Source organism: Homo sapiens, chromosome 17, assembly GCF_000001405.40.
Source record: "Homo sapiens chromosome 17, GRCh38.p14 Primary Assembly".
NCBI classification, from domain to species: Eukaryota; Metazoa; Chordata; class Mammalia; order Primates; family Hominidae; genus Homo; species Homo sapiens.
The window spans coordinates 63,817,061-63,844,740 of NC_000017.11; the positions used below are offsets into that span (position 1 = coordinate 63,817,061).

At 52.3% G+C, this 27,680-nt stretch overlaps 4 protein-coding genes across 13 annotated transcripts in view, besides 11 other annotated features; 2 read left to right on the plus strand and 2 right to left on the minus strand.

Annotated features, from left to right (window-relative positions):
* DDX42 (DEAD-box helicase 42) overlaps nt 1-2,257 on the plus strand; it is a 45,518-nt gene extending 43,261 nt beyond the window's left edge. For all 5 annotated transcript variants that reach the window (XM_047435282.1, XM_047435281.1, NM_203499.3 and 2 more), the window contains one exon: nt 634-2,257. In XM_047435282.1, coding sequence (XP_047291238.1) covers nt 634-1,338 — 705 coding nt within the window. In that variant the 3' untranslated portion in view covers nt 1,339-2,257. The remainder of the gene's footprint in view (nt 1-633) is intronic.
* Nucleotides 2,258-2,372: 115 nt separating this feature from the next.
* Nucleotides 2,373-10,603, minus strand: FTSJ3 (FtsJ RNA 2'-O-methyltransferase 3). 2 transcript variants are annotated; one of them, NM_017647.4, is made up of 21 exons: nt 9,992-10,603; nt 9,776-9,868; nt 9,507-9,612; nt 9,198-9,244; nt 8,996-9,075; nt 8,476-8,575; nt 8,182-8,376; nt 7,988-8,103; nt 7,765-7,869; nt 7,577-7,677; nt 7,271-7,351; nt 7,024-7,179; nt 6,757-6,892; nt 4,924-5,108; nt 4,663-4,783; nt 4,294-4,583; nt 3,970-4,055; nt 3,779-3,878; nt 3,195-3,378; nt 3,019-3,113; nt 2,373-2,934 (listed from the first exon to the last, which is right to left on the minus strand). In NM_017647.4, exons 2-21 carry the CDS (start codon nt 9,840-9,842, stop codon nt 2,742-2,744), a joined length of 2,544 nt encoding a protein of 847 aa, NP_060117.3. In that variant the 5' UTR covers nt 9,843-9,868; nt 9,992-10,603; the 3' UTR covers nt 2,373-2,741. The 2 variants fall into 2 exon arrangements, with proteins under 2 accessions (NP_060117.3, XP_024306330.1); XM_024450562.2 differs by lacking the exons at nt 2,373-2,934; nt 3,019-3,113; nt 3,195-3,378; ... (3 more) ...; nt 4,663-4,783; nt 4,924-5,108 and adding an exon at nt 5,529-5,702.
* Nucleotides 2,765-3,964: an enhancer, noted in NCBI's record as "CDK7 strongly-dependent group 2 enhancer chr17:61897185-61898384 (GRCh37/hg19 assembly coordinates)". NCBI's record gives its function as "activates an origin of replication core promoter dependent on BRD2, BRD4, P300/CBP, MED14 and CDK7 cofactors, with strong dependence on CDK7, by STARR-seq in HCT116 cells {active_cell/tissue: HCT116}" and the evidence as "EXISTENCE:reporter gene assay evidence [ECO:0000049][PMID:35650434]".
* Nucleotides 9,716-10,915: an enhancer, noted in NCBI's record as "BRD4-independent group 4 enhancer chr17:61904136-61905335 (GRCh37/hg19 assembly coordinates)". NCBI's record gives its function as "activates an origin of replication core promoter dependent on BRD2, P300/CBP, MED14 and CDK7 cofactors, and independent of BRD4, by STARR-seq in HCT116 cells {active_cell/tissue: HCT116}" and the evidence as "EXISTENCE:reporter gene assay evidence [ECO:0000049][PMID:35650434]".
* Nucleotides 10,052-10,331: an enhancer, noted in NCBI's record as "active region_12561". NCBI's record gives its function as "activates an Ori minimal core promoter by ATAC-STARR-seq in GM12878 lymphoblastoid cells {active_cell/tissue: GM12878}" and the evidence as "EXISTENCE:reporter gene assay evidence [ECO:0000049][PMID:35858748]".
* PSMC5 (proteasome 26S subunit, ATPase 5) lies at nt 10,371-14,959 on the plus strand. Of its 3 annotated transcripts, none has more exons than NM_002805.6 (12): nt 10,371-10,454; nt 11,078-11,149; nt 12,434-12,503; nt 12,792-12,889; nt 13,073-13,129; nt 13,211-13,441; nt 13,749-13,875; nt 13,976-14,166; nt 14,267-14,365; nt 14,446-14,556; nt 14,664-14,750; nt 14,856-14,959. In NM_002805.6, exons 1-12 carry the CDS (start codon nt 10,431-10,433, stop codon nt 14,907-14,909), a joined length of 1,221 nt encoding a protein of 406 aa, NP_002796.4. In that variant the 5' UTR covers nt 10,371-10,430; the 3' UTR covers nt 14,910-14,959. The 3 variants fall into 3 exon arrangements, with proteins under 3 accessions (NP_002796.4, XP_047292379.1, NP_001186092.1); NM_001199163.2 differs by lacking the exon at nt 10,371-10,454 and adding an exon at nt 10,661-10,863; XM_047436423.1 differs by lacking the exons at nt 14,267-14,365; nt 14,446-14,556; nt 14,664-14,750; nt 14,856-14,959 and having other exon boundaries at nt 13,960-14,166.
* Nucleotides 10,712-10,761: an enhancer, noted in NCBI's record as "active region_12562". NCBI's record gives its function as "activates an Ori minimal core promoter by ATAC-STARR-seq in GM12878 lymphoblastoid cells {active_cell/tissue: GM12878}" and the evidence as "EXISTENCE:reporter gene assay evidence [ECO:0000049][PMID:35858748]".
* On the minus strand, nt 15,021-25,625 carry SMARCD2 (SWI/SNF related BAF chromatin remodeling complex subunit D2). Of its 3 annotated transcripts, none has more exons than NM_001098426.2 (13): nt 25,399-25,625; nt 20,381-20,565; nt 20,135-20,177; nt 19,862-19,984; nt 18,352-18,507; nt 17,645-17,740; nt 17,414-17,515; nt 17,107-17,268; nt 16,849-16,946; nt 16,527-16,662; nt 16,238-16,360; nt 16,009-16,110; nt 15,021-15,931 (listed from the first exon to the last, which is right to left on the minus strand). In NM_001098426.2, the coding sequence occupies exons 1-13, from the start codon at nt 25,612-25,614 to the stop codon at nt 15,878-15,880; spliced, it is 1,596 nt and encodes a 531-aa protein (NP_001091896.1). In that variant the 5' UTR covers nt 25,615-25,625; the 3' UTR covers nt 15,021-15,877. The 3 variants fall into 3 exon arrangements, with proteins under 3 accessions (NP_001091896.1, NP_001317368.1, NP_001317369.1); NM_001330439.1 differs by having other exon boundaries at nt 25,321-25,406; NM_001330440.2 differs by lacking the exon at nt 25,399-25,625 and adding an exon at nt 21,550-21,668.
* Nucleotides 17,983-18,142: an enhancer, noted in NCBI's record as "active region_12563". NCBI's record gives its function as "activates an Ori minimal core promoter by ATAC-STARR-seq in GM12878 lymphoblastoid cells {active_cell/tissue: GM12878}" and the evidence as "EXISTENCE:reporter gene assay evidence [ECO:0000049][PMID:35858748]".
* Nucleotides 22,229-22,523: an enhancer, noted in NCBI's record as "tiled region #8123; HepG2 Activating non-DNase unmatched - State 14:Gen5'". NCBI's record gives its function as "activates a minimal TATA promoter and a strong SV40 promoter by Sharpr-MPRA in HepG2 cells {active_cell/tissue: HepG2}" and the evidence as "EXISTENCE:reporter gene assay evidence [ECO:0000049][PMID:27701403]".
* Nucleotides 22,229-22,523: a silencer, noted in NCBI's record as "tiled region #8123; K562 Repressive non-DNase unmatched - State 14:Gen5'". NCBI's record gives its function as "represses a minimal TATA promoter and a strong SV40 promoter by Sharpr-MPRA in K562 cells {active_cell/tissue: K562}" and the evidence as "EXISTENCE:reporter gene assay evidence [ECO:0000049][PMID:27701403]".
* Nucleotides 24,548-24,627: an enhancer, noted in NCBI's record as "active region_12564". NCBI's record gives its function as "activates an Ori minimal core promoter by ATAC-STARR-seq in GM12878 lymphoblastoid cells {active_cell/tissue: GM12878}" and the evidence as "EXISTENCE:reporter gene assay evidence [ECO:0000049][PMID:35858748]".
* Nucleotides 25,348-25,577: a silencer, noted in NCBI's record as "silent region_8832". NCBI's record gives its function as "represses an Ori minimal core promoter by ATAC-STARR-seq in GM12878 lymphoblastoid cells {active_cell/tissue: GM12878}" and the evidence as "EXISTENCE:reporter gene assay evidence [ECO:0000049][PMID:35858748]".
* Nucleotides 25,948-26,117: a silencer, noted in NCBI's record as "silent region_8833". NCBI's record gives its function as "represses an Ori minimal core promoter by ATAC-STARR-seq in GM12878 lymphoblastoid cells {active_cell/tissue: GM12878}" and the evidence as "EXISTENCE:reporter gene assay evidence [ECO:0000049][PMID:35858748]".
* Nucleotides 27,227-27,616: a transcriptional cis regulatory region, noted in NCBI's record as "candidate enhancer chr17.4273 targeted for multiplex CRISPR interference". NCBI's record gives its function as "positively regulates MAP3K3 and SMARCD2 gene expression with high confidence in K562 cells {active_cell/tissue: K562}" and the evidence as "EXISTENCE:mutant phenotype evidence [ECO:0000015][PMID:30612741]".

The following is a 27,680-nucleotide window of genomic DNA, read 5'->3' on the forward strand; positions in this document are numbered from 1 at the left end:
GGCTTGATGCTAGATTTAGGGTCTTCACGCTGCTTGGATTTTGAATATAAACCTAACAGTAGCTTAGTTGGAAATGCAAGTTGATCTAGAGAACCCCTTGTGCTGGTCTACTTTGAGTCACACTTGGGGCCTGGGATTGTTGTCCTGCAGCAGGGTGTGTGTTCCCTCCCTTCCCAACAGCCTGAAGTGTTGCCCACCTCCCAGGCACCCACCTCCAACTCACTTCTGAAGCAAAATTTACTGATAGTCACACTAAGGTGAATCGATAGAATGAGTTCAAGGCAGGTTTTGCTGTCAAACTTAAATTGCAGTATGAAAATTTTTTTTAAGTTTTCAGAACTTTTTGGTTTTGAATGCAGATAAATGTGCTAAATACATAGATGCTTTATTCTAGCCAATCAGGCTATAAAAGTACATTTCAGAACACTGGGGGTCCATCTCTCCACAGAGATCCACAAGTTTTCCTTTATAGCACAAGAACAAAAGGGACCATACTGTGGGGCCATCAGGACACTAAACTCACAGTGCCAGGATAGCACAGAGTTTCTGTAAACCTCATCATTTGCCAAGTTGTATATTCAAGTTTCTTGAACTTGCTATCTTACCTACTCCTGATGTCTCTTTCTCTTTCAGTCACAGTACAAGAGTCACTTTGTTGCAGCCAGTTTAAGTAATCAGAAGGCTGGAAGTTCTGCTGCTGGGGCAAGTGGGTGGACTAGTGCAGGGAGCTTGAATTCTGTTCCAACTAACTCAGCACAACAGGGCCATAACAGTCCTGACAGCCCCGTCACCAGTGCCGCCAAGGGCATCCCAGGCTTTGGCAATACTGGCAACATCAGTGGTGCCCCTGTGACCTACCCGTCTGCCGGAGCCCAAGGAGTCAACAACACAGCTTCAGGGAATAACAGCCGAGAAGGGACTGGGGGCAGCAACGGGAAAAGAGAGAGATATACTGAGAACCGGGGCAGCAGCCGTCACAGTCACGGAGAGACTGGCAATCGGCATAGCGATAGTCCACGTCACGGAGATGGTGGTCGCCATGGAGATGGATACCGCCATCCAGAAAGCAGCAGCCGTCATACTGATGGCCATCGGCACGGGGAGAACAGACATGGAGGAAGCGCAGGCCGGCATGGGGAGAACCGGGGTGCAAATGATGGTCGGAATGGGGAAAGCAGGAAAGAAGCTTTTAATCGTGAGAGCAAGATGGAGCCCAAGATGGAACCCAAAGTGGACAGCAGCAAGATGGACAAGGTGGACAGCAAGACAGATAAGACAGCTGACGGCTTTGCTGTCCCAGAGCCGCCTAAACGCAAGAAAAGTCGATGGGACAGTTAGAGGGGATGTGCTAAAGCGTGAAATCAGTTGTCCTTAATTTTTAGAAAGATTTTGGTAACTAGGTGTCTCAGGGCTGGGTTGGGGTCCAAAGTGTAAGGACCCCCTGCCCTTAGTGGAGAGCTGGAGCTTGGAGACATTACCCCTTCATCAGAAGGAATTTTCGGATGTTTTCTTGGGAAGCTGTTTTGGTCCTTGGAAGCAGTGAGAGCTGGGAAGCTTCTTTTGGCTCTAGGTGAGTTGTCATGTGGGTAAGTTGAGGTTATCTTGGGATAAAGGGTCTTCTAGGGCACAAAACTCACTCTAGGTTTATATTGTATGTAGCTTATATTTTTTACTAAGGTGTCACCTTATAAGCATCTATAAATTGACTTCTTTTTCTTAGTTGTATGGCCAGGCAGTCCCCATTTTAGGAGTTGGCTTCTGCAAATTCAATCCATTGAGCTAACTGTTGGGGAGCAATTTGGTAGTTGTAGACATTTGCAGGGAAGGGAGATGTCTGATTCTAAATGGGAGTTGATGCTCAGGTCCCCAGCCAGGTTTGCATCCAGCCCTGAGACATGTAGGAAACACCTTTCAGACCCAGGCTCTGAAGATTCCCAGAAGCCACAAGGATTGAAGGGAAAAGGTGATCCTGGTAACTGTTCCAGGATTGCTCCAGGTTTGAGATGGTATTGCTAAATTTAAAATTAAACAAGAAACCCAACAACAGCTTTTAAAGTGTCTTCTATCTCATTGTATTTTTTTTAACTTGCCCCAATGATAGAAAAGTCTTTTGCTGAAATGATTTTGATGATTTTTGTTTATCGTTTATAAAAAGGAAAAGAAATATACAAACTTTGACTTTTGTGACTTTGTGAAGGTTTCTTTAAGATGTGCATTCCTTTCTGCTTGCTCTCTAGTAAATGTTTTACTACCGGGACCTGTGGATCGTTTGTCATTTCTGTCTATGAATTGGTACATATTAAGAATAGTGCCGCACACAGTGTAGGGACAGATAGGGAAGTGCTTATTAAAACTGTCAGAAAAGACAACTCTTCCATTATCCTGGTTTTATTCAGGAATAGGATGGGGGTGGGGAGGGCTTAAGTGGCCCACACGTCCAGGTGTAGACTGACTACATTGAGTATCGCTCCAACACCGAACTTCCCTTTAACGGTTTAAAAAAAGGGTCATGAGTGTCAACACAGTTCAGCAGTGTTTTCATGGGAGACCTTCAGGCAGGCAGGAGGACATCCTCCTCTCTGCTCAGGACCACCACGGGAGTTCTAGGCACTCCACCTCACTGTTCTTCAGACAGCTGTGATGTGAGCAGGGGCTAGGCCGGTAATCAAGGGGGCCAGACTGAGCCATGCCACACCCTTCCTCCTAGTCCCCATGCTCTCCTGGGAGCCTGGCAGCTCTGCTTACTTCCGTTTGTGTTTTTTCTTTTGTTCCTTACGTTGCTGTGCTCTTTGGTCCTTCTTCATCCTTGAGTCCACCACCTTGAAATGACCTCTGACTCCAGCTGGCCGGCGCACTTTGCGGCCCACACCTTTTTTGGCTACAACGTAGGTGACATGGCGTTTCTCCTTGCCAAGCCCAGCCTTCTTGTAGAGACTACAGGGGGGAAGAGAAGAGGTTAGAGGCTTGCTTTCTGCTGCACTTTTAGCCCTGTGTACCTTTGTGGTGTCCTCCCATTACCTTCGCAGCTGTGCCACTTTCTCTCGTTCTGAGATGTCCACTGTGTTCACCACGGCTTCTGCCTTCTTCCTGGTCTGCTCCAGCCTCTTCAGCATCTGCAAAGGAACCTGTCAGGTGACCTCTTCCCCATCCCCCCACCCCCACCCCACCCAATCTCTGGAGGCCCCATCACTTACCCTCCTTTTCTTTCTAGCCTTAGCCTCAGCCACCTTCTTGATGGGACGTGCATTGATTTCCCGCCAGCGTTTCCGGTAATGCTCCACCTCCTTCTTACCAACAGGCAACTGTCGTATCCGGTGCTGCTTTTCCTCTTGCACAAACCACTCCGGAAGCTCCCCCTCATCCTCATTAAATGTGTACCTGAGTGGAAAGGACATCTGTCTAATATCCAACATTCCAGGCTTTCTAAAGAAATTACCAGACTGGGCACGGTGGCTCACGCCTGTAATCCCTGCACTTTGGGAGGCTGAGGTGGGCAGATCACCTGAGGTCAGGAGTTTGACCAGCCTGGCCAACATGGTGAAACCCCATCTCTACTAAAAATACAAAAATTAGCTGGGCGTGGTGGTTGGCACCTGTAATCCCAGCTACTCAGAAGGCTGACTCAAGCGATTCAAGGAGAATCAGGCTGCAGTGAGCCAAGATCGTGCCATTGCACTCCAGCCTGGGCAACAGAGCGAGACTCCATCTCAAAAACAAAAAATTACCCATTTACCCACCAGACCCTGGGTCACTCTTGATGAGTTTATGGCCCCTTTACCGGTTGAAGGAGTTATCTATGAGGTCTCTCTTGGCCTTTTTGGAAGAGGCAATAACAGCACCTAGAGCAAGGCCTTCGGGGTCCAGTATCCGATGTTTCGCTAGAGAGGGAAGGAGAAAGGTCAAAGCTCAATTCCCAATACTGAGACTTCCAGTGGTCTTTTCTCATTCCACTGCATACAGAGCTCTCACCTGGGTCCTCAATAGGCACTATCTCAAACCCGTCATCATCTGACTTAGGCCCACGGCTTCGCTTCTTACCACGGAGGGGTTCCCAGCTGTGAAGAGGGGAGGACTCTGAGTGATTCCACCACTCTGTACTACTCAGACCGCACTCCCACGGAATTTGCAAAAATCCTGCCATGCAGGCTGTACCCCAGACCAGTTAAATCAGGATCGTCAGTACAGTATTTTTAACCCTCCCCATGTGCAGCCAAGATTAAGAACCCCCAATTTAGAGAAATGGTTCAAGCCACCGCTTCCTTTCCATCCCTTCTCTCAGCTGCAACTACTCACCTCTCTTCTTCCTCACTGCTAGTACTGCTATCACTGTCTGAGATGCCATCCTTTTCTTCCCCTTCAAGGCCAGTGGCAGCTTCTGTCCCCGAAGAAGCCTCTGTTCCCTTAGGGGCTTCATCTTGGTACAGGGGAGACATTATCTCAGTCTTCAAACAGGAAGGGGGTGTCTGTGGCAGCTGCTGCTTCTGCTGCTGCTGCCGTCCCTTCCGCCGGTTCTCAAATAACAGCTGGGCCTGACTGATCTCCAGGGCCTCATCGGCATCGTCCTCGATCCCAGCAAAGCTGCCCTGTGATAGGAGAACATCAGCTGCCCTTCTCCCAAGGAAGACTCATCTCCCCGCAGTCTTGCCCCCGGCCTCTCCTTACCTTTGAGAACCACAGGTTGGCTTGTTCTTCCTGCAGTACTGCCTTTTCCTCCAGTGGTACCAGCAGTGGATTCTCCTCCTCCTCCTCCTCTTTATCATCTTGCACTTCAGTAAGTCGCATACTGTAGACCCAAAGGAAAGTAGGGGGCTCAGAGACCCAGATTGCCTGGAGCCCTTGCTGCCCTACTCAGGCTCTGGTAGTACCCACCCTAACACTTCCTCAGAGTGGCAGCATTCCCTTTGGTGCACACGTGCCCCTTACCGCTTTTGGTCCCTTAGACCCTGATGTCCCCTGACTCCTGCCAGCTCCTCTGGATCCAGGTCACTATCCAGAGATGTGTCATCACCGTCGTCCTCAACATCTGACACATAGATATCATCCCTTGGCAGATCGGACAGAAATGTGTCTGCTGCACTCATATCCCCTTGTGTTACTTCCTCTAATAACTGAAGTGTAACAGAAACAAAGGTAAACTATTTAAAAGGAAATATACTGTTTTTTTTTCTGTGTCCCTCACCTCAGTCTATGCTCAGCAACACTAGAAAGAACACTGGCAAATCCATTATCCTTTCACAGATGGGAAAGCTCAGATCCAGGGTAGTGAATGGCCTGTTTACAACATCCCGTTCTAGGCTGGGTTACTGATCTATCCCACTCAGCTGTCTTGTCTCAGTGGTATCACAAATAGGTCTTAAGGAAGGTACCTACAGCCCACATAGCACCAAATCTTAACATATTCTACAACACTGGTTTTCCTTTAAAAATTATTCTCAGACAGCATCTCAATCATCTCCTGAGAATACCGTCTACACAGTTTGTTTCCACTGAATAAAAGGGGCCCAGCCAACATACATCCAACAAAACTGTTCCACTTAAACCAATTGTCAGAACCTTTTATTTTCCTCATGGTAAAGATACTAGGCTGGGTATGGTGGCTCACACCTGTAATCTCAGCATTTTGGGAGGCTGAGGCAGGAGGATTGCTTGATGCCAGGAGTTTGAGGCTGCAGTGAGTCATGATGGCACCACTGAACTCCAGCCTGGGTGACAAAACAAGATCTTGTCTCAAAGGAAAAACTCCAACTACTATTTCTTGAGTGTTTATCACATATGAGGGATTACACCTATCTTTTTTTATTCCTCACCAAAAACTCTAGTAGGTAGGTTCTATTATTGTTTTACAGATGAGGAAACTGAGGCAGCAAGGATAAGTGGTAGTCAGCTCAGTCACTTCACAAAGCTCCAGGTGGTAGAGCTGGGAAGGAAACCTGAGCCTGTGTCTGCTCTAGGGCCACCATGCTCTACTGCCCTCCTGTACAACAAAGATGACCTGATTATGACACTCCCACACATAAGCCACAAAAGTTCATTTTGTTTGTGACCCTGATTTTGTCAGGAAAAACATGTTCTTCAGTATTCAGTGGAAGTACCCTAATGCGAGTGCTCACTTGGTCTCAATGAACTAAAGAATGCTGCTCCCCTCTGAGGGAGATCCTCTATTCATCTGTGCTTGAAACTCAAGTAACCTGGCAGCATCTACTATAACCTAAGTTCTTTTCTGATGTTCTAGTTCTTCAAGAATAAATCTATCAGCCGGGCGCGGTGGCTCACGCCTGTAATCCCAGCACTTTGGGAGGCCGAGGTGGGCAGATCACGAGGTCAGGAGGTCGAGACCATCCTGGCTAACACGGTGAAACCCCGTCTCTACTAAAAATACAAAAAATTAGCCAGGCGTGGTGGTAGGCGCCTGTTGTCCCAGCTACTCGGGAGGCTGAGGCAGGAGAATGGTGTGAACCTGGAAGGTGGAGCTTGCAGTGGGCCGAGATCGTGCCACTGCACTCCAGCCTGGGCAACAGAGCAAGACTCCGTCTCAAAAAAAAAAAAAATAAATCTATCACACTCATCTATCTACCTAACTCATCCTTTTTGGTTTATGTTTCTTTGTGGCCTTATACTCACCAAGGCACCCTGTGGTGAAGACAGCAACCACAGCCTATCGTTCGGCAACCTAAAAAGACATTCAACACCCCCCACCTCCAAACACCCAAACAGATCCTTCTGTCTCCTAAACCTGCACCCCCAATGCCGCCTCACCTGGTGACCCCGGATGGTGCTCAAGGAGAACATGCCAGTCTCCCCCTCGTCTGCAATGGAAACCCCAGGCAGATCCATCTTCAGCTCCACACGCTCCCGCTGCTTTCTCTGCTCACGCAACAGCTTCTTTTTCTTCCTGAGGGGGTGGATTGAGGGAGTAAAACCGGCCCAGCTCCAAAGTTTCTATCCATGCCTTGCATTTTCTTCTCCCATCTTCACACAGTCCCTGCGTTGGGGAACTCCAAGCTCTACCCCAGCTCCTTTCACCTCTTCAATTCCGCCACCTCCTGGGCCTTCATTTCTGCCAAGGTCTGGTTCAGTTGTTCCTCCTCCTCCTCTTCCTCCTCCTCCTTAGAGGGCTGCTTTGTGGTTCCAGCTGTTGAGTCCTCCTCATCACCTTCATCTTCCTCTCCAGAGCTGAGGCTGGCAAAACAGTCCCAAGAGTTGGGTTATTTTCCCAGACTTTTCCCCTGGACACCCAGTCCACACCTGCCTCGCTGCGTTCTCTCCTCACCTGATGTCCAGTGCCTTTGCTTGTTCTTTCAGCTTCTTGGCCACATATCGCCGAAGTTTTGTTCTCCAGTTTAGTAGCGACCTGCCCCAGAGATACTATTACTGATCTTGCCATCTCCCTCTTTGTCCCCGCCCCCTTCTGTTTTAGGCTCACTACCCACCTTTCGGGCTTCGGCTACATAAATCAAAAGGCTCAGGCCCCCATCCCAAACCTTTAGCACAGCAATATCCTCTTCCCAGAGGTCCAACATCATGGCCTTTCCCTGCCTCCAGGGCTCCTGGCCCCCGTGCCTACCCCACTCCATACCTGAGCTCCTTGCGCCCCAACACTCTGATGTCCTGACAGCACACCCGTATGTCCTCAGTGGTAGCTGGATGCTGTGCCAACTCTTCATCATCTACCATGATCTGTTTGGGAGGATGGAAAGGTGTCAGGGGAGATCCTCAGGCCATGTTTCTGGGGCTACCTCATGTCCCTCAAGGCTGGAGACTCACTTCGCTGGCCTTGGAGAGGAAGTCAACAGGGTTGGCAGCTCGGAGGAAGTCAGTGACTGAGGTACGGTGATAGAGAGTGAGGTCACCCTCAGCATAGCCTTCAGCCTTAGGAAGGAAAAGAGAGAAGCTTGGTCAGGCCCTTCTAAGGTACCTGTAGGACCCACCAGGCCCAACCTCCCTAGAGTTCCAGGACCCAAGAGTGACCCCATTCCCCAAAACACACCTTTGGCTTCTTCTTAGTAACCAATTCAGTAACGGTCTTAGCCTGAACTTCAACCTCCTTAAAGGCAAATTTGGGGTCAAAGAATTTACTGTCAACCTTGTCAGGGGCCAGGAATCCTAAAAATGACAGGATATATTAAAAAGTGTGCTTTGGGAGTTGGGAGCCTGGATCAAGAGAAAGGAAATGATGCCCACCTTGGCAGACTACAAAGATCTCTGCAGATTCATGGCGAGAGGCTTGGGGCTTGGTGGCCTGGACACGGCGGAACAGCTGCTGAAAGATCCATAGCAGAGGCTGATAGTCACGAGAACGGAAAACCTTTGTGATGAAGCTGCCACCACGGGCCAAAAAGTCACAAGCCAAACGTAGAGCCATCAGTGTCAAATGGGCTGTAGGATAGAGACAATTAGTTGACGCACTCTGCAGCCCAGGAGGGCATGCGCCCACCTCCACCATCACCTGATCTCCAAGCACCACACTCCCTGTACCTTGTGAGTAAGCATCATGGACCCAGCTAGCCCCAACGTTGGGGGCCCCATCATTGAGCACAACATCAACCTTCCAGGTCTTCAGCTCCTTCCTCAGGGCCTAAAGAGAAGAAAAGGAACTATGGAAACAGAAACACTGGAATGGCCCTGGTTCAGCCATTTGTCCATCTAGTCATTTGCTGAGTGCCCATCATGGGCCAAATGCAGTACCAGGCACAGGAGATACAATAGTAAACAAAAACAGTATGTCTCTACCTTCATGGAGATTACAGTCTGACACTGAATTCACAGGAGAAGACTTCACTAAAGATCTCTGCCCTTCTCCCAATTCCAAACACCTTTATCCCTGACTCTAAATAAAGCCTGGAGTGGACACTACGAATGCCATAGGTCTTGTCGTACAGATGTCAGGCAAGAACGTGCTCAAAGCACGGTAAAAAGGAAAAACTTGCCTTTAGAGGATTTCAGGGATGTAGATGTTTCCGTATAAAGGGGGAAGGAAGAGAGAGACTCCTATTACCTGCCTACAACGTTCTGTTGTGATGTCCTGCTGGAGAGTCACCACATTGGGGAGAGGCTTGATTGGAACCAGGTCCACTCCTGGAAGAAATCAGGTCAGAGTATTCTAAAAGGTTGCTTCAAGCAGGGAGGAGAGAAATACAGGACAAAATACCTTATACACCCACCCCTTAAAACACCAAGGAGAGCTGTCCGTTACTCACCCACAATAAGGCTGGATACAGGCATAAACTTGGCAGCTACCTGCAGCCTATAAAAGGAACAGAAATTTAAAAACCTAGAGCCATCCTTTTCCCCCTCTTGGCAACTGATCTCTCATCCCTGGTGTTACGTGTACTGGCCAAAGCATATCATAGGCACGTATTCCAAGCCCTTTCTCTGCAATCAAGAAAGGAAACGGCCCCCAAGAGGACCGGGATTCGGGTTCCCCTCCCGCAGTGAAACTGGAAGCCATCCCAGCTCAGAACCCAGAAAGCGGCCACCAGGAGCAACCTGTGGCGAGTGTTACGAACCATCCCCCTGGCGCAGCACACAGGTCCAGCAAGGCTCGGGCTTTCTGCAGGAACTGAAAGCGGCGATTGAGCTGGATCAGCTTGAAAGCAGATCGGGAACGGTAACCTGGACAAAACAACCAAGTGCGCAAACTGCTTCACTAGTAGGATTTCTCCGGCCTCGCAACCGACCACCCCTTCTGCAGGAGAGGTACATAATGGTCGCAAAGAGCAGGCGAACCGGGCAGAGATCGCTCGCTCGCTCGCAGACTGAGCGAATCCGGACTCACCCGTCTCCTTCGCCAAGTGATAAAACTTGTCTCGTCGGCTCTTGCCAACTTTGCCCTTCTTGCCCATGGTGGAAAGGGGGAGTATCCCTCAATCTGGGGAGAAAGTAGAAGTTGGGAACGTCTCTTTCCGGAGCACCAGATTCCACTTCCAGTTTCCCACTTCCAGTTTCCCACTTCCCGCAGCAATTCCACCCCGCGCCCCTCTCCGCACACTACCTAGACCCAGAGCCGCTTTCTCCACACTTGGAACCGCACAAGTATGCAGCTAACTACTTCCGCTTCCGCTTGCGTCCCCTGCGTCCCTGGCTCGAGGTTTTCCGCCATTTTGAGTGTGGCCCTAGATTGTTCTCAATACTCTGTCCTTGGGTTTTGTAAGTTGAAAGTTGAGACTAGGAAGGCATATCACAAGAACTATAAACAGAGTTTCAATGAGGCAACACTGAGGAGGAGTTCTACTCCTTCCTCATCCCCTTCCAAAGCCCCTGAACTCGAGTAGCCGCCCCTCCCATCATGGTTCCCTTAGTGTGGTCTCGCCGCACACCCCGCCCATTGACCCGGAATTCTTCTCTGCCTGGTCTTCAGGTCCCAATCCTCCGCTTCCGCGCTTGCGCGCCAAGACGGCTCGGATGCCGGCGGTCTCTGCTGAAGAGAGAAGATGGCGCTTGACGGACCAGAGCAGGTATGGCGGGTGCAGTGGCGGCCCGGCAGGTTACGGGGCTGGGTGCGGAGCGAGCGTGATCTGAGTGGAGAGCGGGCCGGGGCAGGAGCGTCGGGTGGGTCGGAGGTGCCTGGACCAGTCCATGCTGGACGCTGCCTGCGACCGGATCTGCTGTGTCAGCGCCGCCCTCGGTGAGTCAGGGCAAGGCTGGGAGAGGAAGACGCGGTAGAAGCGGAGTGAGTGAGGGAAGCGATGGGCGCGGGAATGGCCGGCCCACGGGTCGCAGGAGACGGGACGCCAGTCCTTTGGCTCCGTTCCGCTGGCTCCTTCGTCAGTACTGACACCTCGGGCTTGTAGAGCACTTCACGCAGTGCAAAGCGCCCCCCGTCTATATCATATCGCCTCTCGGTCCTCCTAAAAGTCGTATGAGGTAGGCGGCGTTCCCATTCTTTTATTTTAGTCCTGGGAAAATGGAGGGTTCCAAGGGAGGGAGGGATTAGAACCCAGATCCTGAGCCTCCGAAGTCCAAACTTTTTCTACTACGCAAAGCTACCTGGTGTCAAGCCTTATTCAAAGTGCCCTGCAAGTGGCTTTACCCCCTCGGATGTTTAACCTGTCGTTTAAGACTCACTCTGTGTCTTCAGATGGAGCTGGAGGAGGGGAAGGCAGGCAGCGGACTCCGCCAATATTATCTGTCCAAGATTGAAGAACTCCAGGTGAGGACGGACTCCAGAGGGAGCTAGGAAGGGTGATGATGGGGGATGGAAACGGACTTCCACAAATCCATCTAATTCCTTTGGGAGTGCAGTGGAAGAAGCTGCTGCTTCTCCTTTCTTGTTTGTTTCTTAGCTAGTAGGGTGTATGTATCAGAAGTAAGCAATCTCTTGTTCTCCTCCAGTCCCATCTCTTTGAGGGTCTTAGTGTTCACAGTTTGTTACACATCTTCGAGTCAAATCTTAATAGTAAAGGTACCTCTAGCCAAAGGTCAACCCTTTTGGAAGAAGCCCGAATGAAAAGGATTCTTATAAAAGGGAAACATAAGCTCAGGAGTTGAAATTTATCACCAAGAGGTTGGGTGAGGGTGAAGTGAGAATGTGAGGAAGGGCATCATTGAGGGATCTGGACAATGCTAATTCCATAGAGACTGAATGAAAGAAATTGGGCAACCCAGAGCCCTAGCCTAAAGCGCTAAACCATAGAAAAAGGACCGTTTATGTTGTTAATCAAATGTTTGTGTTACCAGTAAGGCTTCCAGCAGTAAGGTATGGCTTCCAGTAGTAAGCCTTACAGACAACATAAACAGTAGTCTGTTAGTGTTACGTTATACTGTTACGGTAGGCTGTTAGTAGTTTAACTTTGGACAGGTCCATGGATTTTCAATTTCACCCTAACCCCCTGCGTTGTTCAAGTGTCAACTGTAATATAAATTGGATGGGGGAAAGCCACAAAAGACAATTCTGAATTCCAAGTGCATTTGCAGGTATTATGTTTAGTTTACCATTTTTGAATGCTTTTTCATGTGTTTTTATTCGTTCACCTTAGTAGTCTTGAAGCAGGGTAGCTGATGCTATACCCATGTGCCGTTTGGTAACAGATCTAGATTTTTAAAAATAGATTGTCTTACCTTTACTTTGCTTTTGATTGACAGCGGCTGGGCTAGAACTCAGGTTTCTCACCTAACAATCTTTCCACCAGGTGTTGTTGCCTTCCTGCAAGAAATTTGGTGTTACATGAGCCAGCTGTAACTTTTCTCCATTAGATTCTGTTACTCCTGGACCAGTATTGGACAAGCAGCCTTCTTTGATGGCTGCTGTAAGGTCCAGAGGGACTCTTGAAGGACAGGGCAGGGTCATTAGGATCATACTGGAGAATCTGAAACAACATGCAGGTGCCCTGTGCCCTTCCCTCAGCTCATTCAGACCTGTGAGGTCTTGGCCAAGATCCTACCTCCTCCTGTCTCCTGCCCTTGAATAATGGAATTTGTCTCTTGTCTGCCACAGCTGATTGTGAATGATAAGAGCCAAAACCTCCGGAGGCTGCAGGCACAGAGGAACGAACTAAATGCTAAAGGTGAGTGGAGAAAGATGGGAAGCCGCATGTGGGCAGTTTGTCTGAGGTCTGTCCTTATCTCCCTGCACTGTGTCTTCACAGCAGTGCTTACTGTTTTCTCCCTGTCATCATCTAGTAGTTTCACATGCATCTCTTTTTCCTGAGCCCTATTGTAGCCTCCTTAAATACATGAATTTTGACCTTTGGCCTTCCTTTAATAAGAGTGATGCTTAGCTCATGCACGTAGAATTGGGTCCTGGAGACTCCAAAGGAGTAGCTAGGTGACCACTGTGTCTGTTTGCCATCTAGTTCGCCTATTGCGGGAGGAGCTACAGCTGCTGCAGGAGCAGGGCTCCTATGTGGGGGAAGTAGTCCGGGCCATGGATAAGAAGAAAGTGTTGGTCAAGGTAAAAGCAGCATGACCCCAGGGACCAGCTCGGTCTCCACTGCATTCCCACCCCTTTGTGTGTAGCCTCGGGAGACAGGGTTCTGTGTTCTGTCAAGGTATTGTGGGATTCTCATAGGTCTTCCTGGGTAGGATTAGTGATTTGGTGGCTGTCAAGGAAGGTCATGAGCCCTTGTTTCTTTAGGTACATCCTGAAGGTAAATTTGTTGTAGACGTGGACAAAAACATTGACATCAATGATGTGAGTGTAGCAGGTGAGGTGGTGGTGGTGGTGGGGTCAGCTCTTACTGTACCACTTCTGAAACTCGCCCCCTTCACCCAGGTGACACCCAATTGCCGGGTGGCTCTAAGGAATGACAGCTACACTCTGCACAAGATCCTGCCCAACAAGGTAGACCCATTAGTGTCACTGATGATGGTGGAGAAAGTACCAGATTCAACTTATGAGATGATTGGTGGACTGGACAAACAGATCAAGGAGATCAAAGAAGTGATCGAGCTGCCTGTTAAGCATCCTGAGCTCTTCGAAGCACTGGGCATTGCTCAGCCCAAGGTGAGGAGCAGGGCTTCTCTGAGAGGGCCAAGCTGTACTTACTCCTCCTGCCCCAGCCAGCCCTACTGCAGGGGTTGGGGAGGCACCGGGATAGGCTGCATCTTGCTTGGGCTGGCCCTCCCCCTGAAAAGAGTGGCTGGGGAAGTGTTCCTAGGGCGGTGAGGTGGTTTGGATAGAAGGGACCTTGATGTTCCTTTTTTTTTTTTGTATCCCTAACATCTAGCAAGGGACCCAGCACTCGGTAAATGTTCACTGAATGAAATGAGGGGTGTAGCTTTCTGCCCTGAGTCCTGCTGTTCCCCTGTAGGGAGTGCTGCTGTATGGACCTCCAGGCACTGGGAAGACACTGTTGGCCCGGGCTGTGGCTCATCATACGGACTGTACCTTTATTCGTGTCTCTGGCTCTGAACTGGTACAGAAATTCATAGGGGAAGGTAACCATGGCTAGCAATGTGAGAAGCAAGAGGTAGGGGTAGGGGGTTAGAGAGCTAATAAGCTAATAAGCTCCCTAACACCAGCTCGGCCTCCACACAGGGGCAAGAATGGTGAGGGAGCTGTTTGTCATGGCACGGGAACATGCTCCATCTATCATCTTCATGGACGAAATCGACTCCATCGGCTCCTCGCGGCTGGAGGGGGGTTCTGGAGGGGACAGTGAAGTGCAGCGCACGATGCTGGAGTTGCTCAACCAGCTCGACGGCTTTGAGGCCACCAAGAACATCAAGGTAAGGTGGTAGCATCCTTGGGATGGGCCCAGGGAAGGCCTGGGTGCCACGCAGGCTGAGGAAGAGGTTTAGCTGATCCCCACTTGCTTTCTCTGCTCAGGTTATCATGGCTACTAATAGGATTGATATCCTGGACTCGGCACTGCTTCGCCCAGGGCGCATTGACAGAAAAATTGAATTCCCACCCCCCAATGAGGAGGTTTGTGATGGACACTGTGCAAAGTGGCTCTGGCTGTGGGGGTGGGGTGTGGGGCTCAGGCTTTTCCTTGCCATCTCCAGGCCCGGCTGGACATTTTGAAGATTCATTCTCGGAAGATGAACCTGACCCGGGGGATCAACCTGAGAAAAATTGCTGAGCTCATGCCAGGAGCATCAGGGGCTGAAGTGAAGGTAATTGGAGTACCCACTGAAAACAGGGCAGAGGCAGGAAGCTCTGGGCTCAAGGGCCACAGATGAGGGGCACAGCAGTGGGGCCTCAATTTCCTTTTCCTGTTCAGGGCGTGTGCACAGAAGCTGGCATGTATGCCCTGCGAGAACGGCGAGTCCATGTCACTCAGGAGGACTTTGAGATGGCAGTAGCCAAGGTATAGGCCTCCATCTTTGTGCCTTTGCCAGTGGTGGCTCTGGGGCAGTGGGCTAGGGCATGTGTGTGTTCGTAACTTAATGTTCATTCTCTCTCCCACCCCTAGGTCATGCAGAAGGACAGTGAGAAAAACATGTCCATCAAGAAATTATGGAAGTGAGTGGACAGCCTTTGTGTGTATCTCTCCAATAAAGCTCTGTGGGCCAAGTCCTCTAGGACTCCAGTCTGTTAATGAGGGCTGTGCTGTTCAAGGACCAGGTCCAGGCACCACCAATAGACAAAAGGATTTATTTGGAAATTTCCAAACCTGCCAGATGTGGCACTCGCCAAGCCCTAGGCCCACCCTCCTCACCAAGCTCCAAAGGGCAACACCAGTCCTCCCAGCCTCCCCATTCACCTTACCCTGGCCTCCACATGCACATACCCCATACCTCAGGCCATGCTAGAGAACTGGAGTGTCCCCTCCCCGGCCCAAGCCGCTGGAGAGGCAGCCCTCTGGCATCCCAGGAGATGATGGCGGCCAGAGCCGCTTGCATAGATTGAGGAAAGAAAAGAAGGAGGCACCTAACAGGCTCCCTGAAAACCCCCAACTTACCCCTGTACAAAAAAAGTGGCTCCCACATAGAAAACTTGCTCCCAAAATAGTGCAAATACCCAAAGGAAAGGAAAAAACCAGCAGCAAGGCTGGGCTTGTAGGAATGGCAAAGAACTTTGGTTTAGAAAGGCTAGGAAGAGTCTGGGCTGCACCTCCTCTTCCTAGCCCAGCTCCCCAGAGCCAGCTCTGACCCTCGCCCCAGGGGGAGTCTGTAAACATGCAAACCCAGCAGCCTTTGGTTCGGAAATGTCTTACAATGTCAAAGCACAGCCTCCAGCAGTCCTACTTGGGCCTGCCTGCAGGGGGGCAGAGGAGGCATCTGCTGAACCCAATTAAAGCCAATGCAAAAAGTATAAGGCTTTGGGGACCAAGCAACAAGGAATCCTATCACTACATTTATAAGACTAAAGCTGGAGAGTAGAGGGTGACAGCAGACACTCCTCACCCCAGCCTACGTGTCTGCGGCCCCAGCAAGGACCCAGAGGGTGGTCTCCCTCCAGGCTCCAGGGCTGGGAAGAAAGATCCCTGAGCAGTTAGGTCAGGCGAATTCCCAGCACCTGTTCCAGTTCCTGCCTTCGCTGCTGCACCTGGAGAAGGGAGAAACCAAGTGGCTCAGGCCTTTGCTACTCACGGCCAAAGGAGGGAAAACAGGGCAGAGCCTCACCTTGGCAAAGATGTGCCTGCCTACTGCTTCCTGGGCCCAGGGCTGGTGGTAGAAAGCAGCTCGTCTCTCCTCCTCAGGATTTCCAATCACATCAGTGATGATCTGCAAAGAGCCAGGAGGAAAGCCATAGCATAATCCCCACCCCTGGGCTAATCCACCCTGGGAACTGCTGTGGGTAAAAATCACCCAGAGCTTTACATAGGAGTCCCCTCGGGAAAGAGGACTACACCTTGAGGTCTCGGCGCTGGGAACGGAGCCATTCCTGGATGAAGTCCTGGGGGTCGGTGCTAAAACTGAGCATGAAATCTCTCTGGGTCTTCAGCTGGTTGATGGACTCAATGGTCTCATGGATCTGGAGAGGGTACCTGTGTCAGACTGTGCCCCCAAAGCTTACATGCAAGCAACTGAGCCAGAGTTCCCATCCCGTCCTCCAGGTGCTACATGTATGGAAATGCTGGACAGAGCCAGCCCACCCCAATCCTGGGCCCCAGAGGAAGCTGTGGAGCCAGAGGGCCCACCTTGACATCAAGGGAGGCGATCTCCTGCTGATTGGTGGTAGAGGCCAGAAAATTGCTCATTTGGGCCTTCAGTGGGTCGTCCACCTCCACATCGATGTCGTAACAGGCTGTCTTCTTCTGGTCGTTAGGGTCGACACTGCAGGCAGCACATGGGGAGGGAAGGCACATAGCTGACTTCATCCTGCCCACCTGGGCCAAATCTGGGGCCCATTCTCTGCACACACTCAGGGAAAAAGAAACCTGATGCTTTCTTTGGCTTTAGTTCAAGCCAAGGGTGAATCTGCTCTTAGAAGAGCCTTCCTGTCCCCCTCCTTGCATTTACCTAATGACATGGTTGATGACAATGGGGTCTGGATGCTGCAGCAACCCTGCCAGCTTCATGGGAATCTCGGAGAAACGGAGTCGGCCACAACTGAAGATCTGGAGGAAATACGAAAGGCTCAGCGTTGGCTTGTGGGCACAGTGGAGTGGACCATTCCAGGACCAGTGAGGGCAGCAGTCTGCAGGCTGTGGCCAAGGAGTAGCCCAGCAGGCAAGGCAAAGCAAGGGCTGAGAAAACGGGGGCTGGCATCTGGCTAACCTGGCGGAAGTAACGGTTGCAGTTGATGTACTCCCGCTCGTGCCCATCCTGCAGCTGGTTGTGCTTGATGTAAAGCCACAGGGCCTGCATGATGGCGGCCCTCGTCTGCGTGTGCACTCCCAGCAGCCTTGCCAATCGGGGGTCCAATTTGTACTGGGGAGGCTGGAGTTGGATGGAGGGGAGTCAGAACGGGTTCTTATAGTAGAACAGTGGGAAAATAGGGCAGGGACAGGAAGGGTTTCTAGGAACCAGCTCCCCTCCTGAGGGGTCCCTGTGGGCCCAGAAATGACCCCAGGGTCTCTGTCACCTGATGATCCAGCATGAGCAGGAGGGTGCACTTGACGTTGAGGTCTCCAGGCCGTTTTACTTGGAAGCCATCTGTCTCCTGGGTGGTGGGCATCCGGTGCCACTGGCAGGGAGGGAAGCATGGCTTATCACCAAGGGGGTGGGCGTGAACACAGGGCCTCCCAAGGGCCCTGAGGCCATTTCCCTGCCAAACCTGCACATCAGCCTGCTTTTGCCCCAGGCCCACTCTCACCTCCACCAGGTGATTGTCAGGCCCGTACAGCTCCTTGTCCAGCTCAATGACGAGGCTCTTAAAGAATGAAGAAAACTTCCTCTTCTGTTTGCTAGGCTGGGGATGGAAAGGGGTGTGAGATGGTGCTGCTGAGCTCTCAAATCTCAAGCTATGCTAAATCCCAAGAAAGAGAAGCCCCATTTCAGCCCTGGAGCTCCGGATACTGAAGATTCCTGGGCCCTGAAGGATGGAAGCAGGACTCTGGGCAGACTGGAGGCAGGGAAATGGTGCCCTCTTGCAGCCCACGAGGGACTTCCTCGAGACACTCGACTGCCATCTGCAGGAACACTGTAATAACCACACAAATCAACCTCCAACGGGCTTGGAGCAGCGCCCCCCTCCCTATGGCAGGACTTCTCTGGGAGCGCCCAAGTGTCTGGCCCAGTCTTTTTTTTTCTGAGACACAATCTCACTCTGTCACCCAGGCTGAAGTGCAGTGGTGTGATCATAACTCACTGAAGCTCGACCTCCTGGGCTCAAGCCATCCTCCTGCATCAGCCTTATGAGTAGCTGGGACTACAGGTGCATGCCACCGCACCCAGCTAATTTTTAAATTTTTTGTAGAGATGGGGTCTGGCTCTGCTGCTCAGGCTAGTATCAAACTCCTTGGTCTCAGTCTTAAACCCACACAGGCCTCCTTCCCTCCAGAACCTCCCTCCCCAACTCACATCATCCAGCAGTTTTCCTTCCACTCGGAGTTCCCAGGAAGCCACCTTGTCCCCTGCTGGGGTTCCCCCAGGGGTCCCTGCAGTTCCTGCACTATCGCCTTCCGCCTTGCTGGGACTGAACGTATTGGAAATGTAGATCCGAAGCTTTCGCTTTTGCTAAAGAGAGAAAGGCAATCACAACTGGAGGTGGACCAAGATGCTGGGACACAGTGCTACCGCATCTTCTCATATGAACCATTCAACAATCAGTACTGAGCACCATGAGCCAGCCAGGCACCTTGTCAGGTACTGGGAATCAGAAGTAGTAAGTCCCAGTCCCAGCCTTTTTTTTTTTTAGACATGGTCTCACTCTGTCACCCAGGCTGGAGTGCAGTGGCGCGATCTCAGCTCACTTGCAACCTCTGACTCCCAGGTTCAAGCGATTCTCTTGCCTCAGTCTCCCATGTAGCTGGGACTACAGGTGCGCACCACCATGCCCAGCTAATTTTTTGTGTTTTTGTAAAGATGGTATTTCAACATGTTGGCCATGCTGGTCTCAAACTCCTGACCTCAGGTGATCTGCCCACTTCGGCCTCCTAAAGTGCTGAGATTACAGGTGTGAGCCACCGCACCTGGCCGGAACTCACCATTTTATGGGGAAAGAGATGCATCACCAACAATGCCAGCACAGTGGGACTGGTGCTACGGCATGATGGAGTAACACGCAGCCAGTCTCTGGCTCACATCTTACATGAAACCCAAACACCCATCACGGCTCCAAAATATCCTAGTCCCCTGGAAAGGCTTCACCACTCGGGACTGTTCTACATTATTATTAAGAAAAGCTTCTCGGCTGGGTGCAGTGGCTCACGCCTGTAATCTCAGCACTTTGGGAGGCCGAGGCAGTCAGGAGTTCGAGACCAGCCTGGGTAACATGGCGATACTAAAAATACAAAAATTAGCCGGGCGTGGTGACAGGCATCTGTAATCCTAGTTACTCGGGAGGCTGAGGCAAGAAGAATTACTTGAACCTGGGATGCGAAGGTTGCAGTGAGCCGAGATCGCAACACTGCACTCCAGCTTAGGTGAAAGAGCGAGACTCCATCTCAGAAAAAAAAAAAAAAAAAAAAAAGAAAATTTCTCTATGGATGGGGAAGGGGAAGGAGAAAGGAACTACCTTTATCCCCTAGTCTAGTGGTTTTCAAACTTTTGACCACCACCCATAAGATTTACATTTTCAATTATGACCCAAGGTCTGCATATCTATTTATCAGAAACAAAAATGTCATGAAAGAATCCATTTACTACTATGGTAAGTACTACTGTGAAGTATTTTAAGATTTTCTACTGTCATATATTCATTTAAAACATACTGGCCCCAACACATTCAACTGAGTTCGTACTCTACTAGTGGGCTGCATCCTGCATGTGAAAAACCCGGCTCTAGCCCAACTTGCTTGGCCCCTGGAAAACAAGGGGGTGGAAGGCAAGGAAACCTGGGAAGGCTAGAGGTGGTCAGGGCCACACATACTGTCAGAGGCTTTTTGATGGCCTCCTGGATCTCCATCCGCTTGCGAGCAATGGTCTGGTCCAGCTTCCGCTCAAAAGCCAAGAGATCCATGTACGCCTGAGACTCTGGAACAAGCTCCCGGATCTGAAGGAAGGTAGCAGAAGCTCATCAGCTTGCTTCAGCCAAAGCCTGGCTCTTTCCTCCCTTCCTGCTGCAGCCCAGCTTTGAGAGAGATGGACACCCACCCCAAGGTGGCCACTGGGCAGGCCTCCCAGGTGTCCTCTTAACACTTACTCGCTGAGGTAGAACCTTATCTGCCATCTTCCTCCTCTTTAACCTGGGGAGGACAGAAACCCACTTAAGAGGTCAATGGTCCAAAAAAGGACACTCACTCCCATAACGCCCCTCCAGTCTCCAGGACCCTCTCCCCCAGGAGAGCCTGGAGTCATCCTCAGTCACCAAAGCTCTTAAGATAGAAGGAAACCCTCTGCTACCACCAGAGCTGAGTTAGGCAGAGTGAGAGAAGCAGGATGCTCTTACCCCCGGCGCTGGGCAGGCATGGGAGGCTGCGCCTGGGGCACAAGCAGGCGTTTTCGGAATGGATCCATCATGGTGGGTGGCATGCCAGGTCGAAGCGGAGCTGCTGCACCAAATGGGGAGCCAGCAGGGGGTCCCACCTGCAAGCCAGCCATGGGCATCCGGTTCCCTGGTGACATGCCAGGTCGCTGGGGGAAGTGAGCCAACGGGGGTGCATAGGTCAGGGGCAAGGCCCTCCGGGACCCATAGCCCATGCCCTCCATCCCTCTCGTCAGCCAGGTAGGGCCTGAGCAGCACACCAGAGCCCTGCTGGAGCCCCAGGAACAAAGGGGAGTGGGCGCCTGAGCACAGAGTGTAAACCACACCTGCCCTGCCCCCTGCAACCGCCCTGGCAGCCATGCCAGCGAATGAGGCCTGCCAGAACCTGGGCTGGGAGGAGGGTCCTGCCTGCAGAGGGAAGGGCCTTGGGGAGCTTTTCAGGGCCCATTGCTACCTTCCAGCCCCAGCATGCTGTGCCCTATTCCCTGGGCAAGCTGGTCCCTATTCTCTCAGACAGTCCTGCCAAGCCCTGCCCTCCTTCTCTTTCTCCCATCATGAAGAAGAAGCATGGCTGAGAGGCACAGGGGCAGTGTCACTGCCAGGCAGAGGAGTGTACTATAGTATGAGTAGGCCAATGGCGCAGAGCCCCAATCCCCATCCTCTGTGGCCGAGGGAGAAAGGGGTCTGGTAGGCAGCAGCACCCCAGGTGAGCAGGGCTGCAACAGGATGGCTTGGAACGTGTACCAGCTGGTGGGGGTGGCCTCGGGCAGGGTACAGGGACCCTGTACCCTGTAGTCTGGTATCACATAGCCCCCACCCACAGCCCAGAACTGGACCCTCCTCTTACCTCCCTACTGCCCAACTACTACCCCTATGACAGAAGACCCCAGAAGGGAAGCTATGGCTCCTGGGTGGCCTGTGGGAAAGAGAGCAGCTAGCACCTGGACTCTGCCAGTGGTCCAGGCACCACCTGGCAGCCAGGACTGGCTCTGGCTCCGTGTAGCCCTGGCAATCCCAAGCTGGAGAAGGGGGCTAAGATTATCCTGGGAGGCAAGGATAGAGGCCCAGGCTGAGCAGCAGGAAAGTGGGAGACAGAAATAGCTTCTTTAGATGCCTGCAGAAGGATTTCCCACCTGAGGCCTTGCTCCCTGACATTTCTGTGGAGCCCATCTGGGAGTCACCTCCACCCCCACCCGCCTCCCCATGGCTGCTGCCTGCAAGGCCTGTTTGGCAGCTCTGCCTTGCACACACTGTCCCTGGCAGCTTCACAGGGCTGGCCCCAGGGCCCAGATTATGCAACGAGCACAACCAGCCAACCAAGCCCGGCAGGGTGGAGACTTGTACCAAATCAAAGGACCCTCCCCCACCCCAGCATCATGGAGATGAGATTCTTCCCCAACCTCTTCATCCCGCACTAAACCCATGTTCCCAACACAGAGGGTCAGATTCTTGACCAGATGCGGAGATGGAAAGAAACATGACCCACAGACGTGAGGATGGGGAGAGGAGGAGCAGGGTGGGACGGAAGTGTTTGGGAGAATAAAAAGTTCAAAGTGGGGGGCTCTGGGGCTTTGGGAGTCCTGCCAAAGTCTCTCTGCATCAGGAAGAGATTAATCAGAGCTGTTGAAAGGCAAAAGACAGCCTCTTTCTCTGCCTTAAAGATTGTTCTTTCTCTGGCCTGAGATTATAGAAAAAAACTAAGTGTGGCTACAGCTGTAAGCCCAGGCCCAGACATCCCAGACTAGTTTTTCCTAGTGCCTGAGACAAAGACAGGGAAGAACTGAAGCAGTGGGTCCTGCAGAGGTGAGCGAGGGCCCTGTGGTCCCCAGGAAGCTCCCTGCTGCAGTGTTCACAAAACCTGCAGCACCACCCATCCCTCCTGGGCAGGTGCTCCGGTAACAGGAAGTCCCAAGACAAGGCCTCATAGGCAGGGTCTGGAATAGGCTCCACCCAGACATCTGCTCCAGGTTTCCTGGGCCCAGAGCCCCTGGCTCACTCAGGGCCCCAGGGGAAGGCTGCTTATAGTTCAAGTCCCAGCTGAGCCTTGCCAAGCTCCATAGGGCTTATAGGCGCTAGCAACTCCTCCCACTTCAAAAAACAAAACAAAACAAAACAAACAAAAAAAAACAACTCAGGAGTTAAAGAAAAAAAAAAAAGCAGTCCAGCACTCTGAGCCTCCCTAACTCCCTGCCTGCAGCAGGACCAGGTAGGCCTGGATCAATCCCCTGAACCCCAGATGAGGAATCCAGGGCTCCGGTGAGCGTGCTTTGCCCTGCCCCAAATGTGGCCCTGATGCTCCTGGAACCTGGGCCTGAGGGCCTCAGTTGGGGAACATACCACCCACTCTCCCATGAGTAAAAAGGATTTTGAGGCCGGGTGCAGTGGCTCACGCCTATAATCCCAGCACTTTGGGAGGCCGAGGCGGGTGGATCACAAGGTCAGGAGTTCGAGACCATCCTGGCCAAGATGGTGAAACCTCGTCTCTACTAAAAATACAAAAAAATTAGCCGGGCGTGGTGGTGGGCGCCTGTAATCCCAGCTACTCAGGAGGCTTGAGGCAGAGGATTGTTTGAACCTGGGAGGCGGAGGTTGCAGTGAGCTGAGATCATGTCACTGCACTCCAGCCTGGGCGACAGAGTGAGACTCCGTATCAGAAAAAAAAAAATTTTTTTTTTGAACTTTTTGAACTCTCTGGAGTGAACCCAGCAATCTGAGGTTTTTGTTATTTTGTTGCCCAGGCTGGAGTGCAGTGGCAGGATCATAGCTCAATGCAGCCTTGAACTCCTGGACTCAAGCAATCCTCCTGCCACAGCATCCTGAGTAGCTGGGACCATAAGCGCACACCACCATGCTTGGCTAAATTTTTTTTTTTTTTTTTAAGAGATGATGGTCTCACTATGTTGCTTAGGCTGGTCTTGAACTCCTGGTCTCAAGTAATCCTTCTGTCTGGGCCTCCCAAAGTGCTAGGATTACAGGTGTGAGCCCACCATATCCTGCCCTGGAGGTTTTTTTCTTTTCTTTTTCTTTTTTTAGGTTCCTCTGTTAACTGTGATCCACAGCTAGAACCACCCTCTGGAGGAAGGGAGGTCATCACTTCCCTTCTTTCAACTATTTGCTCAGCTTGGGCCTCAAATTCTCACTTTTCAAGTGCATCTCATGAGCCCTAACAGACAGGAACCCCTTTGTTTCCCAGATCTCAAGTCCCTTCTCCTGGCAGTCATACAACTGGACTTGGAAAGAAGGCAAATAGGATCCTCTTCAAACTCAGCCAAAGTTAGCTGGCTGGGTTCTCCTTCCCATCTACCTCTCCTGCCAGGAGGAGGAAAGCTAGTGGGATGGGAAACCCAGACTCAGGGCCATCTCCTACTTCCGCACAGCTAGCAGCCCAGGCCTAACCAGCCAGCCAGCTTGGCCTTGCCACAGGCCCAAGGCCACCCCCCACCAAAACATGTGGAATCCATCCTCTCAGGGGCTGTCCCAAGGGCACATTTCCTATGGCTTGCATGCCAAGGAAACTGGAGCGGCTTGTCTGTTCCAGGTCCTTCCAAGGCCAAAGGCCCACAGATGGTGCCCAGGCCAGGTCTCAGTGGGCAGGCCCAAGGGCTACAATGAATGATGCAGGGAGCCCTCAGCAACACCCTGGGCCCATGAATCCCCAACGGGGACAGCAAGGTGGGAGAGATGAGCCCCAGCTGGAATCCCTGGGACCAGGTCTGTCTCTGCCCATACCCAGACTCTCTTTTCTCTTGAGAAAGGAGGAAGAATGAGGAGTAAGAAGGAAAAAAAAATCCAGTCACTGTCCCTAGTTAAGCCATCTCCTTAGAAGTGAGGGCCCAGTGGGGCAGGTAGGCTGTGTATACTCCACGAGGATCCCTAAGGACCTCTGCCTGGAGACATGAGTCGAAAACAGAGGAAGCCCACAGCAAACCCGTAGATGAGCAAGAAGCCAGTGTCAAATGCTTGGGCACATGGCTTCGGACGTGGTGGAGTTAGAACCTGAAGGCCAAATAAAAATGCAGAGAGGGTGACAAGGCAGATGGGCACAGTTTCCAAGCCCTCTGGGGCAACCTGAACAGCAGACTAGAGCACTGGCAGGGTCAGGCTGAGGTCCTCACACACTGAGCAGAAGTCGCTGCTTTGCAAGGGCTTTTGAAGCTGCAATCTGAGCAGCTCTCAAAACCCCAAAGGGGTCAGGACAGCACTCTTTGAAGCAACTCTCGCAGACTCCTCCGGCCCCAGACCAGCAGGGCTCCACTCTGCACGTCCAGACTAATCAACTCCCGGACACGATGACAGGAGGCAGAAAGCCCAGAAGAGAGCCGGCCTGTGACTGGGCTGGGCCTCCCCTCAGGCCAGGCCACCACCGTCTCTGGTCTAAGCTGGAGTCCTCCCAGCGAAGGCGCCTGGCCCTGCCTCAGGAGTAAAGTCCGCCCGTGCACAAGCTGGAATCCCCTGGCCCTAGCCTCAGCGTCCCGTGCCCGTGGGAAGCCAGGCTCCTTCCTCCTTATTAGCAGCCGGGAGCCATCTCAGACACGCTAGAGCTCCGCCAGTTCCCAATCAGAAAAAACAGGGCAGACTTGGACTGGGACCAAGGCCGATGCAGGGTAACCCCGGTTTCTCAGCGAGGGCCCTTTCCCAAACTTTCTCATCACTTTCCAGCCCTCCTACCCTAGACTTCTCAACCCACCCGCCACAATTCACTGGCTCCCCAAACTCCTCCATCTCCCAGTCACTCGGAATCCCTGTGCCGCGGAAGCCCCCAGGCCTCCCAGCTGCTTCCAGCCCTCCGCTGCAGAACCTGCTTCCCCTTCCCACTTCTCCACCGCGACCCGCCGCAGCCCGAGGGTCCCGGCCCGCCCTCCACCGTCTCCCGGAGTTCCTCATGCATTCCCCAGGGCCCTCACTCGAGGCCCCTTCAGCCGCCGGCCCGGGCGCCCTCGCAGCGCCTCTCGCCCCCGTCCGCTCGCGTCCTCCTTGCTCACCTGGTACTGCGCCGCGGGGCCCGCGGGGCCCATGGGGCGGAAGGCGGCGGCCCCGGGGCCCCCCACGCCTCCTGCCGGACCCGGTCCCCGGAGCGCCGGTCCGGGCAGCATGCCGGGTCCCGCGGGGGGAGGCGGCGCTCCCAGGGCCGCAGCCACGGCGCCGCCGCCAGGGCTTAGCGGGGGCAGCGGGAACCCGCCCGCGCCTCGGCCCGACATCGCTCCGTCCCGTCCCGCGGTGCCGCGATCCGGACTCCGGGCTCCGCGTCGAGTCCACTCCGTGCTCTGTGCTCCGCGATCCGGGACTTGGCGATCTTAATTCCGGGTTCCGGGATTTGTCGATCCGGGCTCCGGGATTTCCTAATCCAAGTTCGCGAGTTCCTCACAGACCCGGTTCGGGACAGATTCCGCTCCTGCCCGGGAGATTCCGGATCCAGGATCTGCTGCGGGCCCGCCTTCCGTCCCCGGCCTCCGGAGGTTTGGCCGCCCGAGTCGAGTTACCCAGAGGCGGCTACGAACTCCCTGCCCCGCCCAACCCAGCCCAGCACTAGGCCCCGCCTCTACCTGGTGCCCAATGCTCGAGTGCCTCCTCGAATCCTGCCCCTCGCGAGACCCGCCCCCAGCGGGCACCGCCCCTAACTGCCGACCTCAGAGCCCCACCCCCCCACCTTTGGCCCAGCCTTTCGTCGGAGGGGCGGGAGCGGAAGCTGCGCGCGGAAGCGCCGAGTGAGGCGCGGGGTCAGAGGTCTAAGGTCACTTAGGGGCTTCACAGTGAATGAGCCGTTGCTACTACTCTCTCCCGGTATAGCACCCTCACCGAATTCCGCGGCCACACTCCCCGAAAATAGTTTTGTCAAGTCTCCTTTCTGCATCTTCGGCGTTAAAGACTCAACTCAGAGTCGGTAGCTGTGGCTCACGCCTGTAATCCCAGCGCTTTGGGAGGCTGAGGCGGGCGGATCCCCTGAGGTCAGAAGTTCGAGACCAGCCTGGCCAACATGGTGAAAACCCCGTCTCTACTAAAAATACAAAAATTAGCCGAGTGTGGTGACGGGCGCCTGTAATCCAAGCTACTCGGCAGGCTGAGGCAGGAGAATCGCTTGAACCTTGGAGGCAGAGGTTGCAATGAGCCGAGATCGCCCCACTGCACTCCAGCCTGGGCGGCAAGAGTGAAACTCATCAAAAAAAAAAAAAAAAAAAAAAAAGACTCAGCTGCTCTGTGGGGCAGAACAGCAGCCAACTCAACTTCCTGTAAAAGCTCATGCTGGTAGCTCGGAACTGCCAAGGGACCTAGGAGGCTCCAGACTTGACCCAGCTGGTGAACGGTCGACTTGGCCAAGGCTGAGTTCTACCGCACATTTTTAACGTGGCTCCGCCTCACTTTAAGGAAGCCTGGTACTTTACTCCCCAGAAAATGCTTCTAGTCAAAAGAAATTTGGCTTATGAGAAACCTCCCCGCAGTTTAAAAAAAGAGGTCTTTCTCCAGTATTTATAGCACTTAATTTTCAAAAATGCAGTATCTTTTCAGGTACACTGTGCTGTATCAAAGTATTCAAAAATGCGTCAGCTGTGCCAGGGAGCCTACCCTCTGATGGTCTGGATCTCCTCGCCGTGATATGGACCAGTGCTGCTTAAACTTTAATGAGCACATAAAAAACACTCGAGGCTCTTATTAAAAATGCAGATTGTGGCAGGGCCCAGGACTCTGCATTTGTAACAAGCTGCCAGCGATGCTGTTGCTTCTCAGACCACACTGTCAAGAAGCCGGGATCTAGACTTTTTTTTTTTTTTAGTTTTTTTACTATAATTGCTTTATTTTTCCAGCCCCAACCAAGTAATACTTCCTTCCTTGCATCATAGCACCCCAGATCTTTTTTACAGTATAGTTCTCCAGTGCTTTTTAGAAATTAGTTCTCCTCATGCCTCTAGTGATAAACACCGCTGCTGCTGTTTTCTTACCTCCTGAACTTAGAGATCCCACTCTATTGCCCCAAGAGTCGATAACCTGTCAGTCTGGGGACTGGCCACTGGAATTGTTAAAGTCACTGAATCATGGCCCCTCCCATCCCTGTAAAGTGGGTTAAGAGTTCATGATAAGGCAGCTAATATCCATTTCAATCCTTTTAAGCTTCTAGAACAACAGTAATTCTCAAAGTGATAGGGGCAGTGGAGAATCAGAGTCCTCTGGGAAGCTACTCCAAAATACCTCCGCCAGCCACCCCTCCAATCCAATGGCTCTCAGTATTGTATTTGAAAAATAAGCTTCCTAGGTAATTCTGATGCGACCC

Bases quoted from the DNA above. Each gene is read 5' to 3' on its own strand.
- FTSJ3 (NM_017647.4), bottom strand. From the start codon at position 9,842: ATGGGCAAGAAGGGCAAAGTTGGCAAGAGCCGACGAGACAAGTTTTAT. The intron at 9,613-9,775 runs GTGAGTCCGGAT...TGTTTTGTCCAG, and splicing joins TCACTTGGCGAAGGAGACGG to GTTACCGTTCCCGATCTGCT. The intron at 9,076-9,197 runs GTGAGTAACGGA...GATTTCTTCCAG, and splicing joins TGTATCCAGCCTTATTGTGG to GAGTGGACCTGGTTCCAATC.
- PSMC5 (NM_002805.6), top strand. From the start codon at position 10,431: ATGGCGCTTGACGGACCAGAGCAG. The intron at 12,504-12,791 runs GTGAGTGGAGAA...TTTGCCATCTAG, and splicing joins GAACGAACTAAATGCTAAAG to TTCGCCTATTGCGGGAGGAG. The intron at 14,366-14,445 runs GTTTGTGATGGA...TGCCATCTCCAG, and splicing joins TCCCACCCCCCAATGAGGAG to GCCCGGCTGGACATTTTGAA.
- SMARCD2 (NM_001098426.2), bottom strand. From the start codon at position 25,614: ATGTCGGGCCGAGGCGCGGGCGGGTTCCCGCTGCCCCCGCTAAGCCCT. The intron at 17,741-18,351 runs GTGAGTTGGGGA...TTCCATCCCCAG, and splicing joins AAGGAAAACTGCTGGATGAT to CCTAGCAAACAGAAGAGGAA. The intron at 16,663-16,848 runs GTAAATGCAAGG...TGCTGCCTGCAG, and splicing joins GTCATCAACCATGTCATTAG to TGTCGACCCTAACGACCAGA.